Source organism: Homo sapiens, chromosome 9 (genome assembly GCF_000001405.40).
Source record: "Homo sapiens chromosome 9, GRCh38.p14 Primary Assembly".
NCBI lineage: Eukaryota > Metazoa > Chordata > Mammalia > Primates > Hominidae > Homo > Homo sapiens.
In genome coordinates this window covers 106,870,945-106,895,909 of record NC_000009.12, presented here as the reverse complement: position 1 = coordinate 106,895,909, position 24,965 = coordinate 106,870,945, and the positions used below count along the sequence as shown (strand labels likewise).

General features: G+C 40.4%; 1 protein-coding gene across 31 annotated transcripts in view, besides 3 other annotated features; it reads right to left on the bottom strand.

The window, feature by feature from the left end:
• The window catches only part of ZNF462 (zinc finger protein 462), a 153,477-nt gene that overhangs the window by 117,725 nt on the left and 10,787 nt on the right, over window positions 1–24,965 (bottom strand). For 2 of the 31 annotated variants that reach the window (XM_017014997.3, XM_047423671.1), the window contains exon 1: window positions 1–24,965. This exon is cut by the window's left edge and continues 10,534 nt beyond it. The exons of 28 other annotated variants lie outside the window; for them this stretch is intronic. The gene's annotated coding sequence lies outside the window, so the exon portion shown is untranslated. One more of the 31 variants, XM_047423678.1, reaches the window with a different exon arrangement.
• Window positions 2,885–3,384: an enhancer, noted in NCBI's record as "NANOG-H3K27ac hESC enhancer chr9:109654807-109655306 (GRCh37/hg19 assembly coordinates)". NCBI's record gives its function as "activates a minimal SCP1, AML or CMV promoter by ChIP-STARR-seq in naive H9 embryonic stem cells {active_cell/tissue: H9 hESC(naive)}" and the evidence as "EXISTENCE:reporter gene assay evidence [ECO:0000049][PMID:30033119]".
• Window positions 16,735–17,482: an enhancer, noted in NCBI's record as "OCT4-NANOG-H3K27ac-H3K4me1 hESC enhancer chr9:109640709-109641456 (GRCh37/hg19 assembly coordinates)". NCBI's record gives its function as "activates a minimal SCP1, AML or CMV promoter by ChIP-STARR-seq in naive H9 embryonic stem cells {active_cell/tissue: H9 hESC(naive)}" and the evidence as "EXISTENCE:reporter gene assay evidence [ECO:0000049][PMID:30033119]".
• Window positions 23,510–24,709: an enhancer, noted in NCBI's record as "BRD4-independent group 4 enhancer chr9:109633482-109634681 (GRCh37/hg19 assembly coordinates)". NCBI's record gives its function as "activates an origin of replication core promoter dependent on BRD2, P300/CBP, MED14 and CDK7 cofactors, and independent of BRD4, by STARR-seq in HCT116 cells {active_cell/tissue: HCT116}" and the evidence as "EXISTENCE:reporter gene assay evidence [ECO:0000049][PMID:35650434]".

Genomic DNA, 24,965 nt, shown 5'->3' with positions numbered 1-24,965 from the left:
GAGGGGAGGTGAACATCATAACCAGACTGAATGGTTTGTCTATGAATAATTCCATGAACATATGTAAGAAAGAAGAACCCAATACATATTCCCACCCCCAAAAAGATGGCATTACAGGAGTTCCAAGTTTTTGTTTCCATGAATGTTCTTGAAAGCTAGCAATCAGCACAGGTCACTAGAACTAACATAGGTTTTAGCAAAGAAAGACAACAGGACCTCCAACTTCCTGACCTGTATAATGGGACTAAAAAATATCCATTTCATAGGGATTAAATAACGTAAGATCTATCCAGTTTCAAATGTCAGAGCCTTCCCTCCCTCCCTTCATTCGGACAGAAACAGGGATCTCTTATCATCCTTAATCAGGGCAATGTGATATAACGAAAGCTGTGCCCTATCAAGATTATTTTGCTAGCATCATGAGGGACTCCTAGAGGTGAAGAGGATGGTGGGAAACAGGCTGCTAAGCAGCTGCTGAGATGGTCCAGGGAAGAGATAAAGGAAGCCTGGGCCAGACGACGCACTGGGGATGAAGAGGAGGGGTCAAGCCTACATGATATTTAGAAGGGAGCACGGGCAGAAGCTAATGCTTGGTGCACTCTGTCTAATAACCAGGTCACCACTTTCTGACCCATCCAGAGTTAACTAATGAGCTGTGGTCTAAGCTCAATTTTTTCTAACATATGTCAAGAACAGTCTACTCTTTGGTAATAAATGGAAAATGATACTTTTAACTGAATTTTAAAAGAACAGTGCCAATAAAGGTATGGAATATTATCCAAGAAGCAACAGACCTTAGGTTGGAATAGTTTAAACAAAGGGTACTCAGAAGCAGTGCATCAACCTATGCTAATGGTATTCCCATAAATTTCCTATTTAACTAGAGAGCAAGGAAATTACCTAGACCAGCAGCGTCAGATTAAAAAATCATGCCAGCCATGTATGTAATTTTAAATTTTCTAGCAGCTAGAAACAAGTGTAGTTAACTTCAATAACACAGTCCACATAGCCTAATATATCCAAAAATATTATCTTAATATTTTTATATTTATCAATAGAAAACTTACAATATTTATCAATATAAAACTTACTAATGAGATATTTCATCCTTTTTTTCTAATAAGCTTCAAAATTCAGTTTATTTTAGACTTACAGCACCATATCCATTTGGATCAGGCACTGTTTCAAGGGCTGTTTCACTGTTTCAAGTGCTCAACAGCCACCTGTGGCTCAGGGCTACCACACTGGACAGCACAGACCTAGAAAACCTTGAAGGATTCCTTTGAACAAAGTACTTATTTAAGAGTTTTCATTGGTACTCACCTTGAGGTAGTTACCTAATGCAGCTGAACATCTGGAGTGAGAGATTTAAAAAGCTAATCTAATCACATCTGTTGTCATGCTTACAACCCTGTAATACCTTTACATTTTCCTTAAGATAAAGACTAAAGAGTTAGAGATCCCTCCCGCATAAAAATGAAAAGTCTGTTATATCGTGTTATGGAAGACTGAACTAATATCTTTATATCTTCTCTCTGTAATAGAGATACAAAGTTCTTTCTTAAAGCAGCATGTCTCTACTACCTACACTGTCAAACTGATCATTTACAGAATGCACCAACCCCAGAGCTGAGCCAGCTCAAAAAAACCTTCAGCCAACAAGGGTTGTTTTGAACCTCGGCCTAGCAGCACCCAGTATGGCAGTGAGGAGCATGGGCTTGCAGCCCACCTACCGGTTTAAATCCAGTCTTTATCAATTAACAATGGTCAGATCTTGCTTGGCAAGTTGTATAACCTCTCTCTGCTTCCATTTCCTCACTGTAGAAAGTGTAAAGATGGTACTATTTCATAGGATTATAACAAGGATTAAATGAGGAAATACTAAAAGTCAGTTTGCACATAGTCTGTTGCCAGTAATTCCTAGCCATATATTTTCATGGACTTCTCTAGTCCTCCAGAAATGTCAGGATCACATTTCTCAATAATCTCAAAGAGGTTTGTAGGCAGCACTTCACAATGCATAGAGCGCAACTGACCTGCGTTCACATCCCAGTTTTTTGACACCTACCACGTAGTACAAGTGTGCAAGTTACTTAACCTGTCTAAAGCCTCTGTTTTCTCATATGCTAAATAGAAATAACAATAAAATTACATCCACTGCACAACAATATAGTGAGGATTAAATGAGACAACAGAAATAGCAGGGAATCTGACTCTTAGAAAATATAGTTCCTGCCGTCTCCTGAGTACTGTTAGCATTACCCCTTTCCCTCTCCATCAGAGCCTGTTGCTTTCGACATATTAGTTTGGGGATGAGTTAGGAGATATCGCTTCGAGTGCGGTTAAGACAAATGGAAACAATTATGATAGTACTGTTTACAAGTTCCATGGGCATTTGTTATATTACCAAATATTTACCATGTCCTTTATCATCACTAAAATCCATCCTGCAAAAGCCATAGCAAGCCATCTCAGCAACTGACTCCAAGGACTACTCTATGAAAAGGATGGTGATTTCCTTCCATGATGATACATTCTCACAAGGTTAGAGGATGTCCCCTGAATATCCCCAACTTCCTTTAAAAGACTACAAAGCATTTGTCATTTGTGGGTGAGTCATCCATGGTGTACTGGAAAGGGCTGGTCAGAAGACAAGGTTTGGGTCTCTGTCCTGGCAATCAACCAGCTATGATTTTGGGGAAGTTGCTTGACCTCTGTGGGTCTCAGAGAGCACATCTGCTTCTTGGCATCGTGTTGTGAAGAACACATTTATATAATGTATACTGAAAGCCATGGTCTGATTTCTAAAGAGCTCTGCAAATCAATGTAAGGCAAGGATTTGTCTAAAGTTGACGTCCACACTTTTATGTTTTGGTAGTATATTTCAGGAATTTGCTCTGAGATATAGAAGGGGGCTCTTGTTTTATGTCACCTGTGTCATCTTCCCCCTAGTTCCAAAGTCAGTAACTGGAGATCCAGACCTCTGACTGTGAGAGCAGGAATGGGATGAGGCAAAGGCGAGAAGCCTGGGGCCAGGGTGACTCACAGCTGTGGAATCCATTAAGGGTGAAAGGCTCTCTGCATTCCTCCTCCATGTCAAGTCTCTGGGTTAGCAAGGTACAGATGACGGAGGAAACAGGCCTATTTCTTTGCAGACTAAATATTATTCATCTATGCATAACATGTGTGTGTGTGTGTGTGTGTGCGTGTGTGTGTGCATGTGTGTGTGTGTGAGTATATGCCTCCAAATATGAAGGCGAAGATCTAAGCAAATTATTCTTCTGTTAAACTATATAAAACCAGAAACTGACTTGATGCAGTTGTCTTCTTTTCCACTGCCTTGGAGTTTGGCAAATTGAACCCCACAAATCCTTAGATACGGTAAAAATTTTCAATAAAAAATGTTAAGTGAGAAGAACTCTTAGATGAGCCATGGAAATTCTCCAACACTGTGAGACCCTGAGATTGTGGTGTTATTGAGTGGGGCATGGGGATGTGCAGGTTGTGTGACAAGTTTGATGATGCCTAAAAATATTTTTAATGGTAAAAACCTAAAGCAAATAAAGCCTGCATGATATGCTTACGTATATAGCTACCTAATCTTCTGAGTTGCACTTTCGTTAAATGGATGCCAGGATTATTATAGAACAAAAGGAAAGGACCTCAGAGGGAACATTCCAAATACCTTGTACTTGGATTTTCTCACAGCTGTAGTTATTAAAACTCTATTAAACCAGCTGCTAATAATTTTCAAATGGTCCATTAGTTCTACCAATGACCTTGGGCCACCACCAATTTTAGACCTAGTCTTCATGTCTTAATCAACAGCCTCAAATGGAATCCCCTGCTCTTTCAATAGAGAAATACATTTAAAAGAAAGATTGTTGATTGCATAGGTTATTTGTCATTAGGGAATTTGTATAATATGGAATTTAACCTAAGAACCCCAATCCTCCTGAAAGGAAAATGGTTCTTCTGAGATTTCTCTCTCTAAAGCAAGGTGAAAGCTAAACATTATTATTATTATTTTCCTTGTTTAACAGAATAGAATGCATGGATGGGTCTCTCAGGACTCTTGGGAAAAAACTCTCTTGAATATGCTTGATCAACAATGGGAACCCATCCAGAGGGGGGAACAAAAAGCCAGGAAAACATACTCTAAGCTACTTCAGATAAATATCAAGAAACGTCACCTTTTCTATAATCAAGGGTGTGGAGAGGGGAAGAACTTGCAAAAGTGATTTCACGTTCAGATGTGATTTATTAATGGTACTAATGATAATTCAAAGAGAAATCAACACCATGAAAACAAGAATGCCAAGACTAAAAGGAATGTCCTTTTCTTAGGCTTGGAACCAAAAATATTTTTCTCTCTCGTGACCATCTTAACTTCAAAAGCAGAAGCAAGGAATGTCAATCCGTATGGAGCTCCTCTGGCCACTTACTATGTTTCCATTCTTTCCACAGAGAAGGGGAGAGGCAGCCTATTGTATGTCTCCGCCAACAAGATGAGAAAAAAAAATCACTTGTTTTTAAACTTTCAGAGGACACAGATAACTCAGGGGGAAAACAAAGAAAACGCAGACATGAATAAAAATTATTTTGGAATTAAATATTAGATTTTAAAAATCAAGAAAGTCTAAGAATTCAAGACATGTTCAGAATTCCTAATGGCAAAAAGCATGAGCTTCAAGGTTTGTGTACCAGGGAAATGCATTTTTCTTTTTTGTCTCTTGTTGTTATTTATTCAGTACTTTTGTTCCAGGAAGAACTCTTCTTCATTACTGTAAATATACCAAACAATCTCCCATTTCCTAGAAATCAATCATCTCCTTTTTCAGCCGGTGTATTTTCTGTTCCACCTCTGACTTTTTTACTAAATTAGCTAAAAATCTCCTTGATTTCCTGTACTAGCCATACGATTTTTCCAAAAAAGAAAAAGACTATCTTATTCTTTACTCAACCAGAAAGGTACAAAGAAAACCATCAGATTTTAAGGATGCCATTTAGTCTTCAAGAATAAAAGTGAGAAAGTTGCTTGGGTCATCTCTTTGTTCACTATTGCTGGCAAGATTCCAGGCAAGAGTATGTGGTAATCTCATGATAATTGAACAACATAGTCTACTATGCACTCCCTACGATGCAATATTGTTTCATGTCACAGCATGATGCGAGTGACATGAGCCTTAGAGCAGAGGACAAAGGCAGGGAATGACCTCCAAAATTCCATATCAGAGCATATGCCCTCTGACCCTAGGTACATTTGGCTAACCTGAGACATTTACCCATATTACGAAGGTAAGCCTAAGTGCATCATCATTGTTGAGTGGGGACAAGCTTCAAATGTTTCTCACTACAAATGGAGTTGAGCCTAACTACATCATCCAAGTGTAAAACCATGTTTGTGGACACAGAGAAAGAACTGCAGGTGTGTGGATATGATATTTGATTAAGTGGCTTCAAGTGCTAGATTTTTGTATGCCCAAAAAGGACTCCAGAAGGAAATGAAGGAATTCTCCCGACAATGTTTAATTAACTCCAAACCAAGAGACCAGAAGATCACCAGTGTTCCCGGAAGGGGCACTGCATGTGTTGCCGGGTTGACTGAAATTCTTGAGGTCCACACACACAAATGATTGTGGAACATAGGCTGACAACAGAATTGAAGAGTGAGGCCATACACAGCTCAGTCAAGGCCACGAAATTCTCACATATAGTTTTTATTGCCAAAAGAGCTAAATGCCACCACTAGATTTTACAAACTTTTAGGCAGAATATATACAATGATGTATGCCTAGTCTAAGAATCCTGTGGGTATGTTAACTGGATGGCAGCCGGAAAGTAAGGTGGAGTCAAGCTCTACACTAGAGCATAAAACAAAGAAATGGTCACACCTATTAGTTGGCCTGGATATGTGTAAGTATCAATGCCACTGTAGCTTCTTAAGGCAGTTACCCTGCACTCTAATCACCTGGGTAAGCCAATATGTCTGAAAGAATGGATAACAAGAAAGATATCCAAATAGCTTTATTTGGGGGAGTTGATCGTCAGCAAATAAAGATAGTACATAAGCCAAATAAAATGCATTAAAACGCACCACTTCTAGTGGTGGTGGTAATGTGTTAGACCTGTTGACAACTGGAGATGTAAATACTAGATTATGAGCCTCTGAAAGGCAGGGTCTAGGTCTTTCATTTCTGTAGAGCCAACATTTAGCACAAAGCCTGGGAAGCAGTCAAATGCTCAGTAAGTATTTAAATGAATGAACAAATGAATGAAAAAGAGTAAAAAACAAGTAAGCCCACGGTCCAGCATTCAGTAACAGGAAAACAGGCTGTTTCTTTTCAACTAACCAAGGAAAGTGTGAGCGGGGAAAGGCTGTGTAAACACCAATGGCAGCCACAAATCAAAGAGCAGAGCAGGGGGAATCACAGTCTGACAAAGAGAGTTCTCCAGCCCTGTTCCCTTTTAACCAGACTCCCCCGTACCTATACCACATCCCATCACGGCATTACTTTCAAATCCACAAGACAGCAGCAGTGACAGTAACACCCTGAGCTCGTTAACGATCACAACCCTCTGAGCTACCCGAGCACAGCGAAGGAGAGACAGGAAAGTTTTACAAGATAAATGGGGAGGTAGCATTTCTGAGGCCTCCCTTTTAAAAGGGGTGGGGAGGAAGGGTGTGTACATAGGGAGTGGACATACTTACTGACTTCCACCTAGGTGCCCCATTAGGCCAATATTTTGCAAAACCAGGTGTGTGCAATTTGCTTATTAAAGTTCTCACCCTGGGGCAACTGACAAGACTCATCAGTCCTGGGAGATGTGTGCTATGACCCCAAGGCAAGTTAAAGCATATCCAGAATATTTTAAGCTAGAAAGAGAATCTTTCTGTTAAAGTGAAAGGGGATCATTCTGCTGAAACAACTAAGAGGAAAAGGAATTAAAAGTAGTTTGTTCCCAGTTTTGTGTAGAAATTGTACCATTATCTTCCAAAAACAAAGGCTCAAGGTTAGATTGAGGTTCCAGAAGGAACATGGGAAAGGTTTGTAATTGATGATTCTATAAATGGTGGCACTTCAAAAGGAAATATTCCAGCAGAGGATAAAAGCTCCAAGGTGGCCCACCTTGCCTACTTCCTCAAGAGGTCCAAGAGTCAACACTTTTGAACACCAGGATCTTAGAAATCTAGGTTAACTCTCTCTCATTATTAGCTAATACGGTGGGAAGAGTGACAGATGTGGAGTAGCCAATGGCAACAGACCACAGTGGCACTGCATATACGGAGCTATCTGATACTGAAGACGCCAAAAAAGAGCCCCAGTTATGTTTTCCAAACTGGCCAAGATGGGCAAATGGATGCAACTGAATTGGAAATGACAGTAGCTTTTTCTATGCTGTTATCAATAGCATTCATCTCAAATTAGACGTTAACAGACTGCTCTACCAGTGAAACATAGCTTCCTCCCTGCCAAACACTAACCCTATTCAGGGCAAAGTATTGTCAGTTCGTACATAAAAAGATAACCATGACAGAGCTCTGGTGGTAGATCTAAATCCACATTTGGCCGGGCGCGGTGGCTCACGCCTGTAATCCCAGCACTTTGGGAGGCCGAGGTGGGCGGATCACGAGGTCAGGAGATCGAGACCATCCTGGCTAACACGGTGAAACCCTGTCTCTACTAAAAATACAAAAAATTAGCCGGGCGCGGTGGCGGGCGCCTGTAGTCCCAGCTACTGGGGAGGCTGAGGCGGGAGAACGGCGTGAACCCGGGAGGCGGAGCTTGCAGTGAGCCGAGATCGCGCCACTGCACTCCAGCCTGAGCGACAGAGGGAGACTCCGTCTCAAAAAAAAAAAAAAAAAATCCACATTTACAGAACAGCTATCATGTACCTAGCACTGGGCTAGACAACCACGAATTCATGGCATGCTTTAGACTGCCAGGCACATTTATCTCCCACATTCATCTTCACAACAGCTTGTCTTTGGAAGTAGAAAGGGTTCCAAAATTACACTTGTGAGGGTCGTGTTACGAGAAAATTTATTATCAGTCTTTCTTTCTAAATGTACTACATAAACTATGTAACGATAACCCAAAAAGTCCTTTTTAATCACAGTTTCATCATTCTATTTGAAATCTAGAGATTCTAGTATGTTGCAACGCAATCATGACCCCTGTGAATTCAACAATAAACAGTTCATTTGTCTCATTAAAGTAAAGGAGAGAAAGGAAAGAAATAGATGTATATACAATGTGGGTTTAGCTTTCAAGATCCAGAGGGTGTTTGTGCTACTAAACAACTTCGTTACCTTGAGCAAGTCCCTTAAATATTCTTGGATTCGACTTCTCTGGCTATAAGATAACATTAAAAAAATAACCTCAAAGGTTCCTTCTAGTTTTATTGTAATAAGTAGGAAACCTGTCAGGAAGTATCTTGGAATACTGATGGTCAGGGAACCAAGGTTCCAGTTGGGCTCTGTATTATCCTGGGCAAATTATGACCTTTGTGAAACTGTTTTTATACTTCCATTTACGGAGGGAGAGGATTTAGTAGATGGCCTAGGAGGATGTAGGCAAGGAAAAGCCAGCTGTGGATAACATGTAAGAACAACATGTTAGAAGGTGGTGGTGAAACAGATGAATGACTCCTCAGCCTTATCAGGGTTAGACAATACCAACAATGCAGAAAGACAGCTCTTCATGATAGGTTATAAAACTTATGGTGAAAACCTTATCATTCGTTCAAACTGCTACTCAACAACTTAGTTACCCTGGATAAATCACCTGGACAAGCTATTCTGAATGAGATTCTCTGCCCTTGACTAAATATTCTCTTTTTTGTTTGAAAACATTTGGAAATAGGATGTCTTCATGAACACCAAGGGAGAAAGTGTTTTGGTAAAGAGTAAGGCTGTAATTTTAAGTCACATAATTGTAAGGGACAGCAAGTATAGGGAAGTGCCACCGCCTGTCATTTACCCTCTCCCGCCTATTGCAGACTTCTCTGCTTGATCTCCACACTCTTTTCCAACAAGCCTAGACAAGGCACAGAATCCTCAAAGTGAAGCTCCAGGCATTCTCCACCAATCAATCAAAATTGGCACGAGAAATAGAAGCTATCTGCCAACACTGTTGTAGTGGAATAAGCATGGATCACCAGGGCAGAAAACTGATATTCCATTTCAGGCTTCCTTAACTAACTTCCTACATTGTGGACTTTGGACACATCATTTCAGCCTTTCCAGAGCTGTAAAATGAAGGGGTTAAGTGGGATGATTTCCTAGGTCCATATAACCAGTTTCTTCACATTGACTGCGGATGACAGGAGCTCCTTCCTTTTCAGACCCTATCTCTTCTATTTTTTTTGTAGCTGACATTGTTGTATATTTGAGGATGTGGATTTCAAATGTGCTCACAGCCTATGTCTGGATCCTCAGGGTGGCATCCTGGCATTTTATTTTTAAAACCAGGATCTACTACATTGCCAACATGCAGTGGCTTGAATCCTGAGAGTTGGATACCCTTGAGTCATTATCAACTTTCGAAATAGGCAGCACATTCACACAGCTAACAGAAAGACACTTCAAACTTTAAAATAATTTTGGATCTACATAAACATACCCAAGTCATGAAAAGACAGAGAAAGTTTAAAGAGCGGTCCAGTGAGGTAACAATCCCAGCCACCTTCTTAACCACCCCACCCCTACTTTTCTTTTTTACTAAGTCAGTAGTGCTCAATGAGTCATTATGTGGCTACCACCTATCAGGCTAAGGCCAACAAACCCACTTCTTGGGTATGAGTTACCTCTTGATTATTATTTAATAAAATACAAACTGTTCTAGTTTGTTATTTTATTTAAAATAGGCATCACACATTTTTTTAAGGCTACCTTGAGCATACGTTACCTTTTCCTGGGGAAAACAAAAAGTCCCGTCTATCTAGATGAGGAAATATCCAAAGAGCAAATAATTATCAGAACATGACTCTCTCTGGCATCCTCCCCTTCTCTCCAAGTGGTTTATGTGATGACAGGGAATAGGGATAGAGGAACTGGAAACTCTTAAGAATCAGGTGGGCTCCAAAACATCAAGCAGTCCTCAACATCAGTCCCATGTGCAAGATAGCCACTTCAAGTTGTCCTTGTTCTAAAGTCTTGATGGTAGCATGAGCTCTGCACCATACGCCTAAAGGGTGACCTAATGCTGAGTTCTGCTGGGGCAGCTGGAACTGGACAGGATTGTTTGCCACGGTGATCTGAGTCACTTTTCAGCAACATCTCAGGGTTAACAAGATCACATGTTCAGCTGCTACTTAAAGTCTTGGAGGCACTTCAACCTCTTAACTTGGGTAAGCATTAGGAACCTAGTAGGTAGTGTCCAACTCCTCAAAATAACTTTAAAGAGACTATACTCCCTTTCTTGAACCTTCTAAGCATGGCAAGGACACAACCAAGAACCACAGGTTCTTGGGCCATGACTGCTGCTTTCTGTTACTAAAAAATTACTGTCAACCAGACAAGTTTTCTCAAATTATTTTCTTTTTCTACTCAATTGTTTCTTCTCTTCTACTTCTAAAACAACATTCTTTTCATTCCCATGAGGCTCTTAAAGTTAGAAGGAAAGTGAAGATTAAATTCTCTTAACAACATTTATTCTAGAGGCACTTCCTTTAATGTATATGGAGAGTTTAATGGTAGTAGTGATAGTTGTTTTAGGAGTAGACAACATGTAAAGAAAATAAATAAATTCCTTGCATTTTCTTGGGAAGCTGAAGTGTCTGACCTGCCAAATTTTGCAACAGGGCCATTTTCCTTTTTATTGAGATTAAAGCAGAAATCTCTCTAGAAAGGTTATGTTGAACACATACATTGCTTTGAAGCAGAATCTTAACCTCTCCAAGTTACTTCTTATCTTTTGAAGAAACATCTACTGAGCTGGCTCAGTCATTCACTAATAAGCATTGATGATCAACTACACATCAGGCATACTATTAGACCCTAGACCGTGTTGATCCTCTAGCCAACGTTACTCTAATTTACAACTAGGTCAGTTAGCAGTGGCCCAATATCAGAAGCAACAGCTTCAAACCAGGCCAGGCAGGAAGCCATATGGAACAAGTCCTCGGTCAACAAGTGCATCTCTTATTGTCAATAGAAAAAACAAACAAACAAACAAAAAAACCAAAAATGTACTTGGGTGAATTCACAGCAATTTCTTTGTATACAGAAATCAACATAATGTGTTTCCTTTGTTTCTGCCAAATATATTAATATGAAAAAATTGCATCCAATTTAACTGATGAATGACAGATATTCTGTTTCCACTGCCTCCATGGTGGGAGGAAGGGGACAGGGCAGAGGTGGATGGTGGTGGTTGCAGTATGTAGCCTGTCACCGAGATGACATTTCCCAAACCTAAATCACTCAGTATCCAGTAACCACAGTAGTGAGTAAATCACTCAGTATACAGTACCCTTAAGGTGCTCTGAAGGTACTAAATTCCTAGAGAAGAAAAGACGAAAGCCTATTCCATAGCTCAAATTATTAGCAGCCACAAATATCAAGTTCTGACAGCAACTCTTTTCCTTTTCCTACTTCCTGCATGTCAACTCTTCAAGCACAGTGGCTGCTTCTTCCTCCCTTCCTTAATGATACCAAGACCAGTGGCTCCCAAACCTGGCTTCTAAGAATAAACATTCTAGGCTCCTACCCTAGACCTAATGAATTCCTCTCCTGTGGTAGAACCTGAAAGTCTATTTTTAATAAATCCCTTTTTGTTTCTAAGTTCTCAGAATAATTCTGAAGATCAGCCTGGTTTAGGAATCACTGCTGCATACCACAAGTTTATGGTGATTTAGAAAGAAAACTTTTTAAAAGGGAGCTGTCCACCCTTCCCCCACCATATATACACACTTGTGGTTGCTTAAACATTTTTTTATGAGCAATGAAGACAGCATAACAGCTTCCTCTATTGCCACCCAAATATCCAGCAATTAGCAGACTAGACCTACAGATTCTTCACATTCTGAAGCTGTTAAAACAAACACTTGTGTGCCTGGTGTAGAGTTTGCTCACCAGCCCCCATGACTTGCGTAGGCTCCCCTGTCCATCTAAATGAACAAGCCAGGGCTGCTGATTCCAGGTAGAAGGATAAATAAGCCAAAGGAGCCTCAATCTTAGCTTTGAACCGCATCCAAACTTCAGAGGAAAAGATTTACTAATCCCCTGTTTACAATACAAAAATAATAACACAAAAACAAAATCACCTGCCATTAGCCAACTCTAATCTAATCTTTCCTTGCAGTAATAATTTTACTTAGGGTACTTCAACACTAACCTTGGCCTAGCATTCACTGAAAAATGAACTAATGACGCAGGCCTTATGTATACGGTATTCTGGGGAAAATGCAACTCCTTAGAATGAACTGGGATAAAATGTGAGGATTAAAATCAGAATTACCAAACAGGATCATGAGGAGAAAAGTCTTTTCATTTTCCATCCGCACACTATTCTGCCTTCACTGGGCCAGCATTAATATGGTCTCTGCTTTAGAAAGGCTTTGACTTTCCCGCTATTATCCTAGTCTTGCTTTAACACATACTTTATATTAGAATGCGTTCCAGGAAGCATATGGCATTAGAACTAGGTCAACCATTAACCAAATAACAGGAAACTGCTCTGCAGCGCACACCCTTCAAAAGCTTGCTTAATGAGCTGGCTCTTCAGAATATGTCCTTCAGTGAGGTTGGGACTAACAGGACCCATGGGTTTCTTTAATACTGCAAGGTCACCTAATACCTAGAAGGCTTCTGCACATAGTAGACTTTCAATGATCTAAATCATTCCATTGAAATGTTCAAGAACTAAAGTCAAAGGTGAAGAAGGATGTTTTCTGAATCTGCTTGACCATCTTCAAAGAACATGACTATCATCCTGGTTCCGTTGCTTCATCCTTCCAATTTTGTTAAATTGATAGGAAACACTACATACTCATCATTTTTTTCCATAACGTTTTTCCCTATATTCCTTGAGGCTTCCATACCACCAATTTACCCTACAAAATACATGCCACCATCCATTTAGACTTAATAGGTCAAAGAAAGTCTTGGAAAAAGACCTGTCTTCCTCTTTCACATAAAACCGCAAATGAGTTTCCTCCAGAACCAATGGCCTTGAATCACTGAATATTCGAGTTTGAATTTTTCTTATCCAATGTTTCAGACTCAATTCTATGAAATTTAACTCTATAATGCACTGAAGATCATTCAGGATCATACTAGTCAAATGTCATCCTCACATTAGTATCTTTCAAAAGCTACCGACAAACAAATTTTCCTTGGCTTCTTTAACCTAGACTGTTAGACATTCTTACTTCAAAATGTACATAATATGGATTGTAGAGATGGGTAGTTTTCTTTGATTGAGAACTTACATTAACTTTCATTTTTTAATTGAATGCTATAAATCTAGCGATGTTTCAGGCAGAAATGACTGCTCAGAAGCAACTAAGAGACTATTCTGTTTCAGATATGTAGGCACTTTTAAGGAACAGATATTTAGGAGCAATATGACATTTTTAAAAATGCTAGGTTTGGTTTACAGACTCCATACATTTTGACTGTGTACATCTGTTTTAGGCATTGCTCAAGGCACTAGTGAGCAAGGGAGACTCAGCCTGCCTTTCTGTAGCTTCTAGTCTAGTCCTGTTCAGGAACTCATTATGAAACAAATCAGTGGTTGGCCTTCAAAGTTGATCAGCTAAATTTTAACTGAATAAGATCTTTTTCCCTGAAACCAGTCAATAAGGCTGCCTGCACACCAACATGAAGAGTTGCACACTGGACTAGAGGTGATAGAAAAAAGGCTTGTAAGACATTAAAACTGTTAAGACATTTGGATTCTAGATAATCAAATAGCTTACATCTGTGCTATTCCTGGAAAATTTCAGGTTTACTATAGAGGAGTTAGTCGTGTAGCAATAGTCAAAACAAAAAACCAGAACTTCATCTAAGGAATTTAATATATAATCTATTATAGAATGTTCAAGATAGCACAAACAGAGGGTAAGGTACTTTGCTTCCCTTTTACCAGATTTTGGAGTCATGTTTCATAGGGGAGCACACTGGCTTTGAAAAGCCACCATATAATAAAAAATATTGCTCAGCCTCTTTAGCCAAGAAGGTATATGTTTGTCAATTTTACCAGTACAAGCTTCAAGGAGCCCTCAATTGGGATTTCATGTAAAACTCAGGTATATTCTGACTTCTAATCAGATAGTCACTGTTTAACAGTGCTCTACCTATAGAAAGTGTTTAATACAAACTCAAAGATGGGAGGAAAGAAAATTAGGATTTTTTGTGTGTCTACTATATGTCAAGCTCTGCACCAGAGATTTCTTTTCATGATTTCCTTTATTCCTCAAAAGAACTTTACAAAGTGGATTTTTTTTCCAGATAGGGAAATTGGGGACCAAAGATTAAATCATTCCCTCAAGGTCACCCAGTTACTCACTGACTCTGAGGTCTACGATCTTTCCACTATACACCATGGCCCTCACCACCAAGGTCCTCACAGGCCTACCAATACTGACAGAAAAGGGTCCCCCTTCGATGTGTCCTCTGCGCTAGAATCAAGTGCTCCTCCCTCATATGAGGGCACGCTGCTGCTCCCAACATAATAATCTCCAAGCCTAGTGTTTGAAAAGATGGTCTAGAGTTTCTCAGAGGGCCCAAACACTGATGATGGAGCAGGGTCAAGCCAGTTCCTAAGATACGAAGCAAGATGAACTCAGCAGGTCCTCCTGCCAACTGTCCTCGTCCTTACTCATCTGGCGAAGCATGCCAAGGCCTGCCTGGAATGACGCAGGAAAGGGTCACCATGGGTGATCCTATACCCCTCCAAATTGTTACAAAATAAAAGCTCAGTGCTGAGACAGGCTGGCTCCTTGAAAACCTGCCAATATTGTTTTGTAGGAATCAGAATTCTTAAAGAAACTATTTGTATCTATCAACCTCAGAGTTAAACCCACGAGGTACAGAGTAACGTACAGGTATAAAGGTCAAAGGTCTAGGAATGTGTGGACCCAATCCATCTTGGGAGTCCAGGTCCCCACACTGCCTACTAGACATTCCTTTTTAATTCACAAAGGAACCAAAATGTTTTACTTTTCCCTTATACTGAAGTTCTGACTACAAACACATTTAAATAGAGAAATATAGGTGAGTATCAGTTATAAAAGGCCCAACTTAAACCATTAATAAAAATATATCCCAACAACCACTCTTTCTATTCTAGCAGCTCCACAAAACTGACACCAGAAAGGCAGGATCACTGAAATTTAGAGCTACTTAACATAAACAAACACAAAGTCCACACTTGGGTTAGGAGATGTGGCTAATTTTAGATGAGTGTTTTACACGGGATGAAATGGAGCCTTGGACTTCTCACTGGTTTAATGCAGCCCTCGTACCTACATTTAGCCAACACCACTTCAAAGTTTTCTCAACTATGGAAAACAAGTGGTAAGGTAGCTGAAAGAAGGAATTCATTTCTGCACTGTTAAGTTCTCACAGGCAAACTGTTCAGTCTGTCCCAGCTCCTGGACTGCACAGGCCCAGACAGAATCATGAGCTGATGCAGAGAAGATTTCAGCATTCGGGAATATCTGAAGAGTCAGGCTTTGCAGTGCTTCCACTGATCAGCATCTGAGGCAAGTATTCATTCAAGAGAGGCTGTGAAAATCCTCCTGAGCGGGCGGCAGAAATTGAGAGGGCTCTTGGTGGTTACGAGCAACTCTGTTTGTCCCATTCCTAGGAAAGCTCTGGAATACTCCATGCCTTGAATGCATATAGAACACAGTCTCAGATATTAGAAACAATTCAACTATCATGTTCAACTGCTACAAGGATCCACGATTCCAAGAGTCAGTGAGTTGCTCTCTCTCCCTTTAACACAGCTGTGAAGTCCACTGAATATCCAGCCAAGTGTACTTGTGAATTTCTTCCCCTCTCATGCCAGTGAGAGGACCTGGTTTCAGCCTAGTGGTATGATGTACTTGCTCATCAGCTTTCAGGTTTAACAAGGGAAAACAATCTACCCCTCAAATTGTAGAAGCTTTCTTTCCAGGGGAACTAGACAATCCTGATGGCTCTCTCCAGTTACATAGCAATTATATAATTGCTAAGCTTCTGCAGAATCACTGGAACCATTCTGCAGGCTTCTACCAACTACAGCTGCAGCACAATGTTCCGAGATGATTGCAGGCTTTGAATGGATGGCCGGTCTCAAATCTGAGCACAAAGGGACATACAATGGGATTCCATCTCAAGCACAAAGATGCTCCTGCCTAATGAAGCCCTTTCTCCTCCTCCCAGTCTGTGCAGTAAACTCTTTCCTTTGCCCGCCCTACATGTGTGTGGAATGTGGTTTACTCTGTTTATGCTGACAGGTTCCAAAAGAGGCAGAAAAATCAGCTGAAGTTTTGCCATGGACCATGCACAAGGTAATCATTTAACACATAATGTGAAAGCTCCAGAAGAGGACAAGAGACAAGGTGGGGGGTGGGGGGGGGGGTGGAAAGCATCTCTCTAGGCTTCCTGCACTGGCATGAAATGACTGCTTCCCTTCCTTCTGCCAGCTCCAATCCTTCATGTTGACATTACACATCCTGTACTGTAGATCCACCCCCATGCTGCTGCTTGCCCAGCTGAATTATCTCCTGCGTCACAGCGGTGGTAACAGAACTGCTGGCTCGGCAGACCTGAAAGCACCATTTCAATGCTTAATGCATTCAGCAACTGGACACATTACCAGTGCGTCAGGGCTGGTTTGTGGCCCTCTCAGCAGCCATGCAATACTTGACCTAACCTTCTGCTAACCAGATGGTCTGTTTGCCTCTTGGGACCAAACCATTAAACTTTACTTTATTAAATTCTATCCAAATGTGGGGACAGTTTACAGCAGCATGTCTGGTTCATCTCCAACAGGGTTGCTAAGATGAAAATGACCTAAAAATAACTGGAAACTCTACTTCACACCAACAGAGAACAAGATATTTTGGAGTAAATATTTAAATCATCTGCCAGATTACGAACCACAGCAGCACTGACTATATGGTTAGCAGATTATATTGTAAATATATACACACAAAGACGTAGAAATGAATGCATCTAAACAGGAATCCACTACCCACAGCCTAAGCCACTCTTCACCATCCCCTGGCTCCAGGCTATTTGAATGTGGCTGAGGACACCTATCTCCATCATAATCACTCAATTACCAAAACAAAGAGCCTAACACAACTGTGATAGAGAGATCTCATATCCCCTGGGTTTGACCACCTAGGCATACTGTAGCCGTGCTTAGTACTCACTCAAAAGGAGGAGCTCAGTAAGTGTTCAATGAATGAATAGACGTATGGGCACATATTCCTTAAATAAACAGCTTCTATAAAACACATGAAGACACTAAATTATTTCCAACTCTATCATCCCACAACTGCTAACTAAGCATGCAAAACCAGGCATTGGATGAATGGCAAGAGCATGCCATCTGTACCAGAGGCATTGGGTGGCCCCTAATTGATCATTGCAAATGAACGGTAGAGATGGCCATTTATTGGGCCCCTGGCAGGGTGCTGAATGCTTTACATACATTATGCCTCTCAGGCTTCACCAGAAAGAGAATTCCACTTTAAAGATAAGAAACTGGAGCAGAGGAGCATTATGAGCTTGACCCAGGTTCACAAAGCTAGGAAGTGGCAGGCAGGGGAGTGAATTCAGGTCATACCCCACAGCCAATCACTTTCCCACTACTCTGTAGTCACAAATAAGCAAGGATCCTACATGTCACGAACTGAACACATGTGACAGTAGCATTCCCAAATACATCTCTTAAGGAAGTAAACAACTGGACAACCTTCCCACTCCCAGTCTTTTAGGGGTCCTAGGGAGTCTGGGGTTCAGCTCCTACTCTTTCATCCCATATTTCTTACTGTATTGAGGGCATTCTGTACTAATAACCACTGCCACAGCCACAGCTACATCTCTACTCCTTTAGTTTTGAGTTCTACCCTTTGAAGACCAAAAATCTCTCATTTAGGAGAATCCTAGAGATTTGAACACCAGTAAATAAACACAAGGTTTTTCTTTCCTCCTCAAATAGCTCTGGACAAAGTTAGAGTGGCAACTCTAAAGTTTATTTATAATTAAAAAATAGTAACATTCTGGCTGGACGCAGTGGCTTACACCTGCAAGCCCAACACTTTGGGAGGCCGAGGTGGGCAGATCACTTGAACTCCTGTTCAAGACCAGCGTGGCCAACATGCTGAAACCCCATCTCTACTAAAAATTAGCCAGGCATGGTGGTGCATGCCTGTAGTCCCAGCTACTCGGGAGGCTGAGGTGGAGGAATCACTTGAACCCAGGAGGCCGGGCTTACAGTGTGCTTGAGATCATGCCACTGCACTCCAGCCTGGGCAACAGCGCAAGATCTTATCTCAAAAATAGTAATAATAATGATAATAATAATAATAACAACAACATTCCAATGACATATTTATTTCTCTGGAAATTTCCCAAATGTAAAAAAAAAAAAAAAAAAAAAAAAAATCATGAGTAGTTTGCTTGTACAGGTGAAAAATCACTATATGGTTTTACCAAAGAACCACTTACATGTTCTTCATCTTTCCCACTAACATTCACACCACCACCACCACACCACCACCACCACCAATAAAGCTACCAATGAATGTCCTTTTGGCCAGACCCAATAAGGTAAGTCTGGTTAGGCCCTACCAACACCATTCCACGTTTTCTACATTTTAAAATATCATCTACCCTTAAAACACTCTAAAATTAGTCTCCTTACCCGTGAGGTCTCAAAGCATCTGATATTATAGTACATTAGTAAGACCAAGTAGATGTGGACTATTGAAATAAACATTTGCACAGAGAAAACCAAAGCATTTCTAAGCCAGGCTATGGGGCAGTCCTCAAACTGGCTAAGAGATATGTATGTGAGTAGAGCAACAGTGAGGCAGACAACATTTATATAAACAGCACAGCCAATATTTTCTCTGCAATAAGGACAATTTTCTTCGACATATCATTTTTGCCAGAATGATGCCAAACAATAGGAACAGTAATAACATCTTTCTTCTGAAAAGCTCAGAAAACTTCATGTTTATTAAAAATTGTTCCCCTACAACACTCCAGGGAATAGCTCTGCAAGGTCAGGTTGAAGGCGTTGTTACCATATAAATGTACTTTTTCCAAGAGGAAATGGCATCATTCTCGGGTAGTTTACAAGCTCCTACTGAATGCACACACAGCAATACAGAGTGCTGCTTCATCCACAGAACATCAGTTGAAGATGTAATAAAGTCTAGCTGGGAATGGACAACTGCAGCAAAGACTACTCATCAGTAAAGGGACACACAGCACAAAATTAAACAAGCAGGATTCCAAAAGCTGACTTTAAGACCAAGAACAAAATACCTAATATACTGACCATAGATAAATGGGGCAAAGCCCTGGAGAAGATCTCTGCCTCAGTTTCTCTATCAGTGAGGAAGGAAGAAACTATCACTTTCTTCCTTCCTGGCCATTATGAGCCAGGACTCTTAGACACATATTATTTTTTAATCCTTATGTTAGTTCTACAGATTCAAATTATAATAATTTCTATTTTACTGGGTAGGAAATCATGGGGACAGAAAGGATAAATGACTTACTCAAGGTCCCACAGCTAGTAATGGACAGAGACAAATTTCAGCCTCAGCTTGTGTGGCCCCAAAGAGTATATTCCACCTACTACACATCACTTTCTTAACAGAGACCCCTGCACAGAGAACTGCATTTTCACCCCAGAAATTCTAAGAGATGACTATTTGCACTCTTGATGTTTTAGAGAAAAATAAGTGCCTAGAGAGTATCTATCTATCTATCTTTCTCTATGTATAGAGATACATGTGTGTACATATACATACATATACATATATACACATATAAAGCAATATATACAGTAGCTGAGTTCCTAGTTGTTCTTAGTTGCTCTGAAGTTCAGCCATGGTGTGCAAGTTTCAAGTGCATTATTTTCCCATATAACTGCATGTCAGAAAGGGAAGCCTGCCAAATGACAATCTGGCCCAGTGATTCACAGTGTCACACTGACATACCCACACTGTATCACTTCTGATACAGGTTGTTGTTAGTATTTCCTGGAAATCATTGACTTCATTTGGGAGATAAACAGTAAACAACGTCCCTAGTAATGACACGTTCTTTTTTATACTAGAATACACTGGCAGCAAATTTCATAATTTGGAGGAAAGGAAGGGGTGATATAAAGTTAAAAGTTCTCGATTAACAGTTCCCTCAAATCTTAGTGATCATGTTGCTAAGGCATTATCTTAAACACAGATGACTCTCTTTTTCGTTTTAAGATTATGCCTTATAAAGTAAAAGATCTATTCAAATGAATCATATTCAATCGACTTAACAGGTTTCATGTGCTGAGGTAAATAACAATCCAGCCAATTTGGGATTTTTATCCTTCAAGATTCCTATTGCTGATTTATGAAAGCTTTGCAGTTATACTTGACCCCTAAAAACTTAAGAATTTCTTTTTCTGTAGACACCAACACAAGCTATACAATATGTGCATGGTCACAGACAAAATAATATTGCCACGACCTTTCTACTAAGATGGGGGAAAGATCATGGAAAGGGGGCAAGAGGGGAAGAAAGAACAGGCAGAAGCACATTGGAAACATCAGATATTTACCGTTGAGAAGCTGCTTCAAATAAGATTCCTAACACTTACCTATGCTGGGGTCAATTTTGATAATTGTAGTTGATGTCTAGAAATGGGGTTATGAATATAATTATCATGAAGCAGCAATTGGGCAATCACCACCTAATTAAGCCCACTGACTAGATTATCTTGTTTTCCCCTAATAATCACCTAACATTTAACACTTGTTAATTTCAGGACCTATGGGTGATGTTCATTCATTATTAACAAGCTACAGCCACTGGTCAGAAAAGAATGGGTGAGGTATTCTGAAACACTGAGTCAACCATGGGGCAGGGATGAATTTCACAAACAGCTGACATCTGTTCTTCAACACCACTTCAGTTCTCAGGCCTGCAAAATTGCTAATTGGAGGCAAAGCCACGGGAGAAGATGGAATGAATGACAAAAACTTCCACACAAGTGGAAGGATACAATTCCACCTCCTTAAATACGTGCTATTTTATGTGATCTATACAGTGTACTTTTTAAATTATCATAGAATCTGTCTTTGAAAATGTGGTTTTCTTTTCAAGAGAATGAATGATTCCTTTGCCAGGCCTGCATACATAAACTTTCTACGTTTACCTCCTTAGAACATATCCCAAGCTTCCTCTCCTATGGAGCCCCTCAAATTGAATGTGTTCGCAAATTCCCAGTTCTCACTGTATCCACAAAGATATGTTGACCCAGTTCACCTTGTTTCCTGCAAAGCAGTTCCTGAGGGTAGCCTGGGTAGGTTTCCTCAAAGAATTAAAAGGAAAACTGAAGAAACCCATTGAGAACTGGTCTTTGAGACAGGCTGCTCTCTGAGGGATTATCCTAGAATGCTAGGCCCTACTGCCTAGGGTCACAGTTTACGCTGTCCAAGGCTGAATGGAGTCCCTATTCCTCTAAATTAGAAATTCTGCCCAGAGAACAACACGCTTCAGTTCCATTTTACTCTCTTTAACTACACAGTTCAATTGTTCACTTTATATATTTTTTCTAAGCCTTTTTTCTATTTTAGTCCTTTATCTAAGAAAATAACGGTTTTTATAAATTTGGTAGATAATGATATGGATGAGAAGTAAAAATGGATGACTCTGTGGCCTTCTCTAGTACACTTTATAAACAGGACATGTGTTTATCCTTCTACGAAGGTTTTGATTATGGGTCTGTCTGGAGACCAGAGATCAACTGGATAGATCCATAGCAATGTTAGGATTTTATAAAACCACCACTAGTTTCTTGGGGGCTGAAGAGTCTATTCAGCAACTAATGTCCAACCACCATTTGCAGAAAAGCTACTCTCTCGGATACCGTAGGGATATCTGGATCTGCTCCATCTCCCTTAGCACAGTGTGTCACTCTATTAGGGACATTTGTGCTCATCCATGAACTTCCTTACTATCTTGTGATGTTTCAGAGACAGGCAAATAAAACCAAAGCACTCATCACATCTCCATGATCTAAATAGAGCACATGGTGATCACAAAAAGGGGTGGAGGGGGTATCGGCACCCACACTTTTAAGAGAATCTGCACCATGTTCCAAAAATGACCATTAAAGAATAGAACTAATTTTCAAACATCTGCGTAGCTTTTGAGAACATTTCTCAGGCTGATAGTAACCAGAGCCAATACAGGGCACTGAGGCTTCAAAAGGGGCCCTATGAAGAAAAAAAGTACAACACCTTTTCTACAAAAAAAAAAAGTCACCAGCATATCTTCCTGCCATAACAGGTAGGTGGCTCCTTTTTTTCTGAGTTTGATATAATTTTAAAATGTTTATTTCCTAAAGTGTCCCCTACATGGTGTCTTGCTTTTTTTCCCTATCATCTCCTCTACAATTCAGAAAAGGGCGCTCTTAAGTTAAACACACTTCCTCAAGCTATTGCAATAAGTTATATCTCTCATATCAAATAATATATTACAATTAATTTTCCATTATTCTCAGATTTCCTTCTAGAACTCCAAGGATATACTCCTGGCATAAGCAACTGGAAGAGATAAACCATCAAGAACATAAGCTATTAGCAGACTAAGTAATAACCAAGGCCGGGTCCCATCAGCTGAGAGCCAGGCCTCTGGAGGCAGTCCCCACTCCATGTGAATCCTGGCTCCCCCACTTTGCAGCCTCATGACTTTGGCTAAATTACTTTACCTCCCTAAACCTCAGTTTCCTCTACCGTATGAACAGTCCCTGGTTCATATTAAATGTTAAAAAAAAATAAAAACCGTTGTCCAGTATTAACTATGAGTCAGTCCACGAGGGAAGACAGCATTTTTTAAGGTCCTATGTGGTATTCCCACTCTATAGAGTTGGCAGATTTTTTTGATGAAGCAATCATATTTATTTTCTATTGTTCTTACCCAGTATTAGAACAGACAATATTCAATTGACAGCAGAAAGGGGGGAAGTTCTTGCAACTGAACTCCGATATTTAAATTAAAATGGTCTTTTCTGAGGCCGGGCATGGTGGCTCATGCCTGTAGTCGTAGCACTTTGGAAGGCCGAGGCAGGCAGATTGCCTGAGCTCAGGAGTTCGAGACCAGCCTGGACAACACAGTGAAACCCCGTCTCTACTAAAATACAAGAAATTAGCTGGGCATGGTGGCTTGTGCCTGTAGTCCCAGCTACTTGGGAGGCTGAGTCAGGAGAATTGCTTGAACCTGGGAGGCAGCAGTTGCTTAAGTGGAGATCGTGCCACTGCACTCCAGCCTGGGAGACAGAGCAAAACTGTCTCCAAAAAGAAAAGAAAAAAGAAAATGGTCTCTTCTACAAAGACTCCCTTCTCACTTATTGTTATCAAATACTAATTAGTCTTCAGAGAAGACTATTTAAGATAGAAACCACTGAAGAGAAAAGATTCTGGGTGATAAGTACTTGTAGCTGGTATCTATCTTTGGTCATCTTCAGCTATAACCCAGCATTCAAATTGTACCCCAAACGAAGGACCCTCCATCAGGCCCATGGCAATCTGGGTTGAATGATTGGTGCTCAATTGCTGACTAATTAGTCATAACACAGAGGGATGATGTAATTAGGGATTAGAATGGCTAAACATTCTGGACCACAGTGGCCTTATTTTGGATTTTAAAATGCTGGGACTGGAAGGACAGACCAGCCTGTGACGCTTGGCTCAAGTCAATGGCTGAAACCCAAACTGACGCCAGGTAGTAGTCATAGTCCATTCCTTTCCCCTCTGAAAAGGCATGTCTTTGTTCTTCATTTCTTCTAACACCCAGGGTGTAGGTAGAGAAGCTCTATGGATCACTTCAGAGAGGACTATCACATTTTCTGTCCATTAATAATGCAGCTGTTTTCTGCTGTGCTCTATTCTCTACTTCGTTCGTTTTCCAGGAAAATCTCCACCTAGGCCTACTTAACCAGTTCCCTTGAGTTTCCATCTGTCCTTTATCAGAAAGGCTGTAATTGTAACCCCAAAGTCACATAAATTGTCCTCCAAACCCAATTCTATTTTTTACAATAGGAACTGGCCAAAGAATGTGTACCTGAGCACTGGTCTTCATATTTCACATGTGTTAGGTACCAAATTACAAGGTCTTTTTCTACTTGCTATAATCGCTTTCTTAAAAGCAATGCCTTACTTCTTCCTGTAGGATCTTCCCCAGTGGACAGACTTCTTCAATTTGGCTAGTCAATTATTTTCCTGCTTCTCTTCTTTTCCTTCTCCCATCCAACCAGTCACTCCTTCCCAGCAAATTTCCACTATAAAATTACAGCAATGCTTTAGCCTACTTTCCTGTTAGCTTTAACAACCTTGTCTATTTTCTACTTGTGCTGATGCTACTGTTTGCTTTTCTGACAGGCTAATCCACGTATCCTTTCAAGGCCTAACTTCCCTACCATGATAGCAGCTGGAGCTCTAATTCACAGGTGCCTTCCAAAGCTTTTCATTAGCAATAGAAATGAGATGGTTTAGAAACTCATTTCTTAATCTGCAGGTAAGTATTGGAACCTTTGTGCAGCAAACATCTTTCAAGTATCCCACATTGTGCCACTGAACAATTATTTTTGGAGGAATAAGTACAATGTTAAGGCACATTTGCAGTGTTAACGGGGAGAATTTTCCCTTAGAGGACATCGGCTCCCACCCCCCAGCCTCTGGCATTTCCCAGTTCAAAAGAGAAACACTCAGCTGACATGAGCAAAACTGAAGAA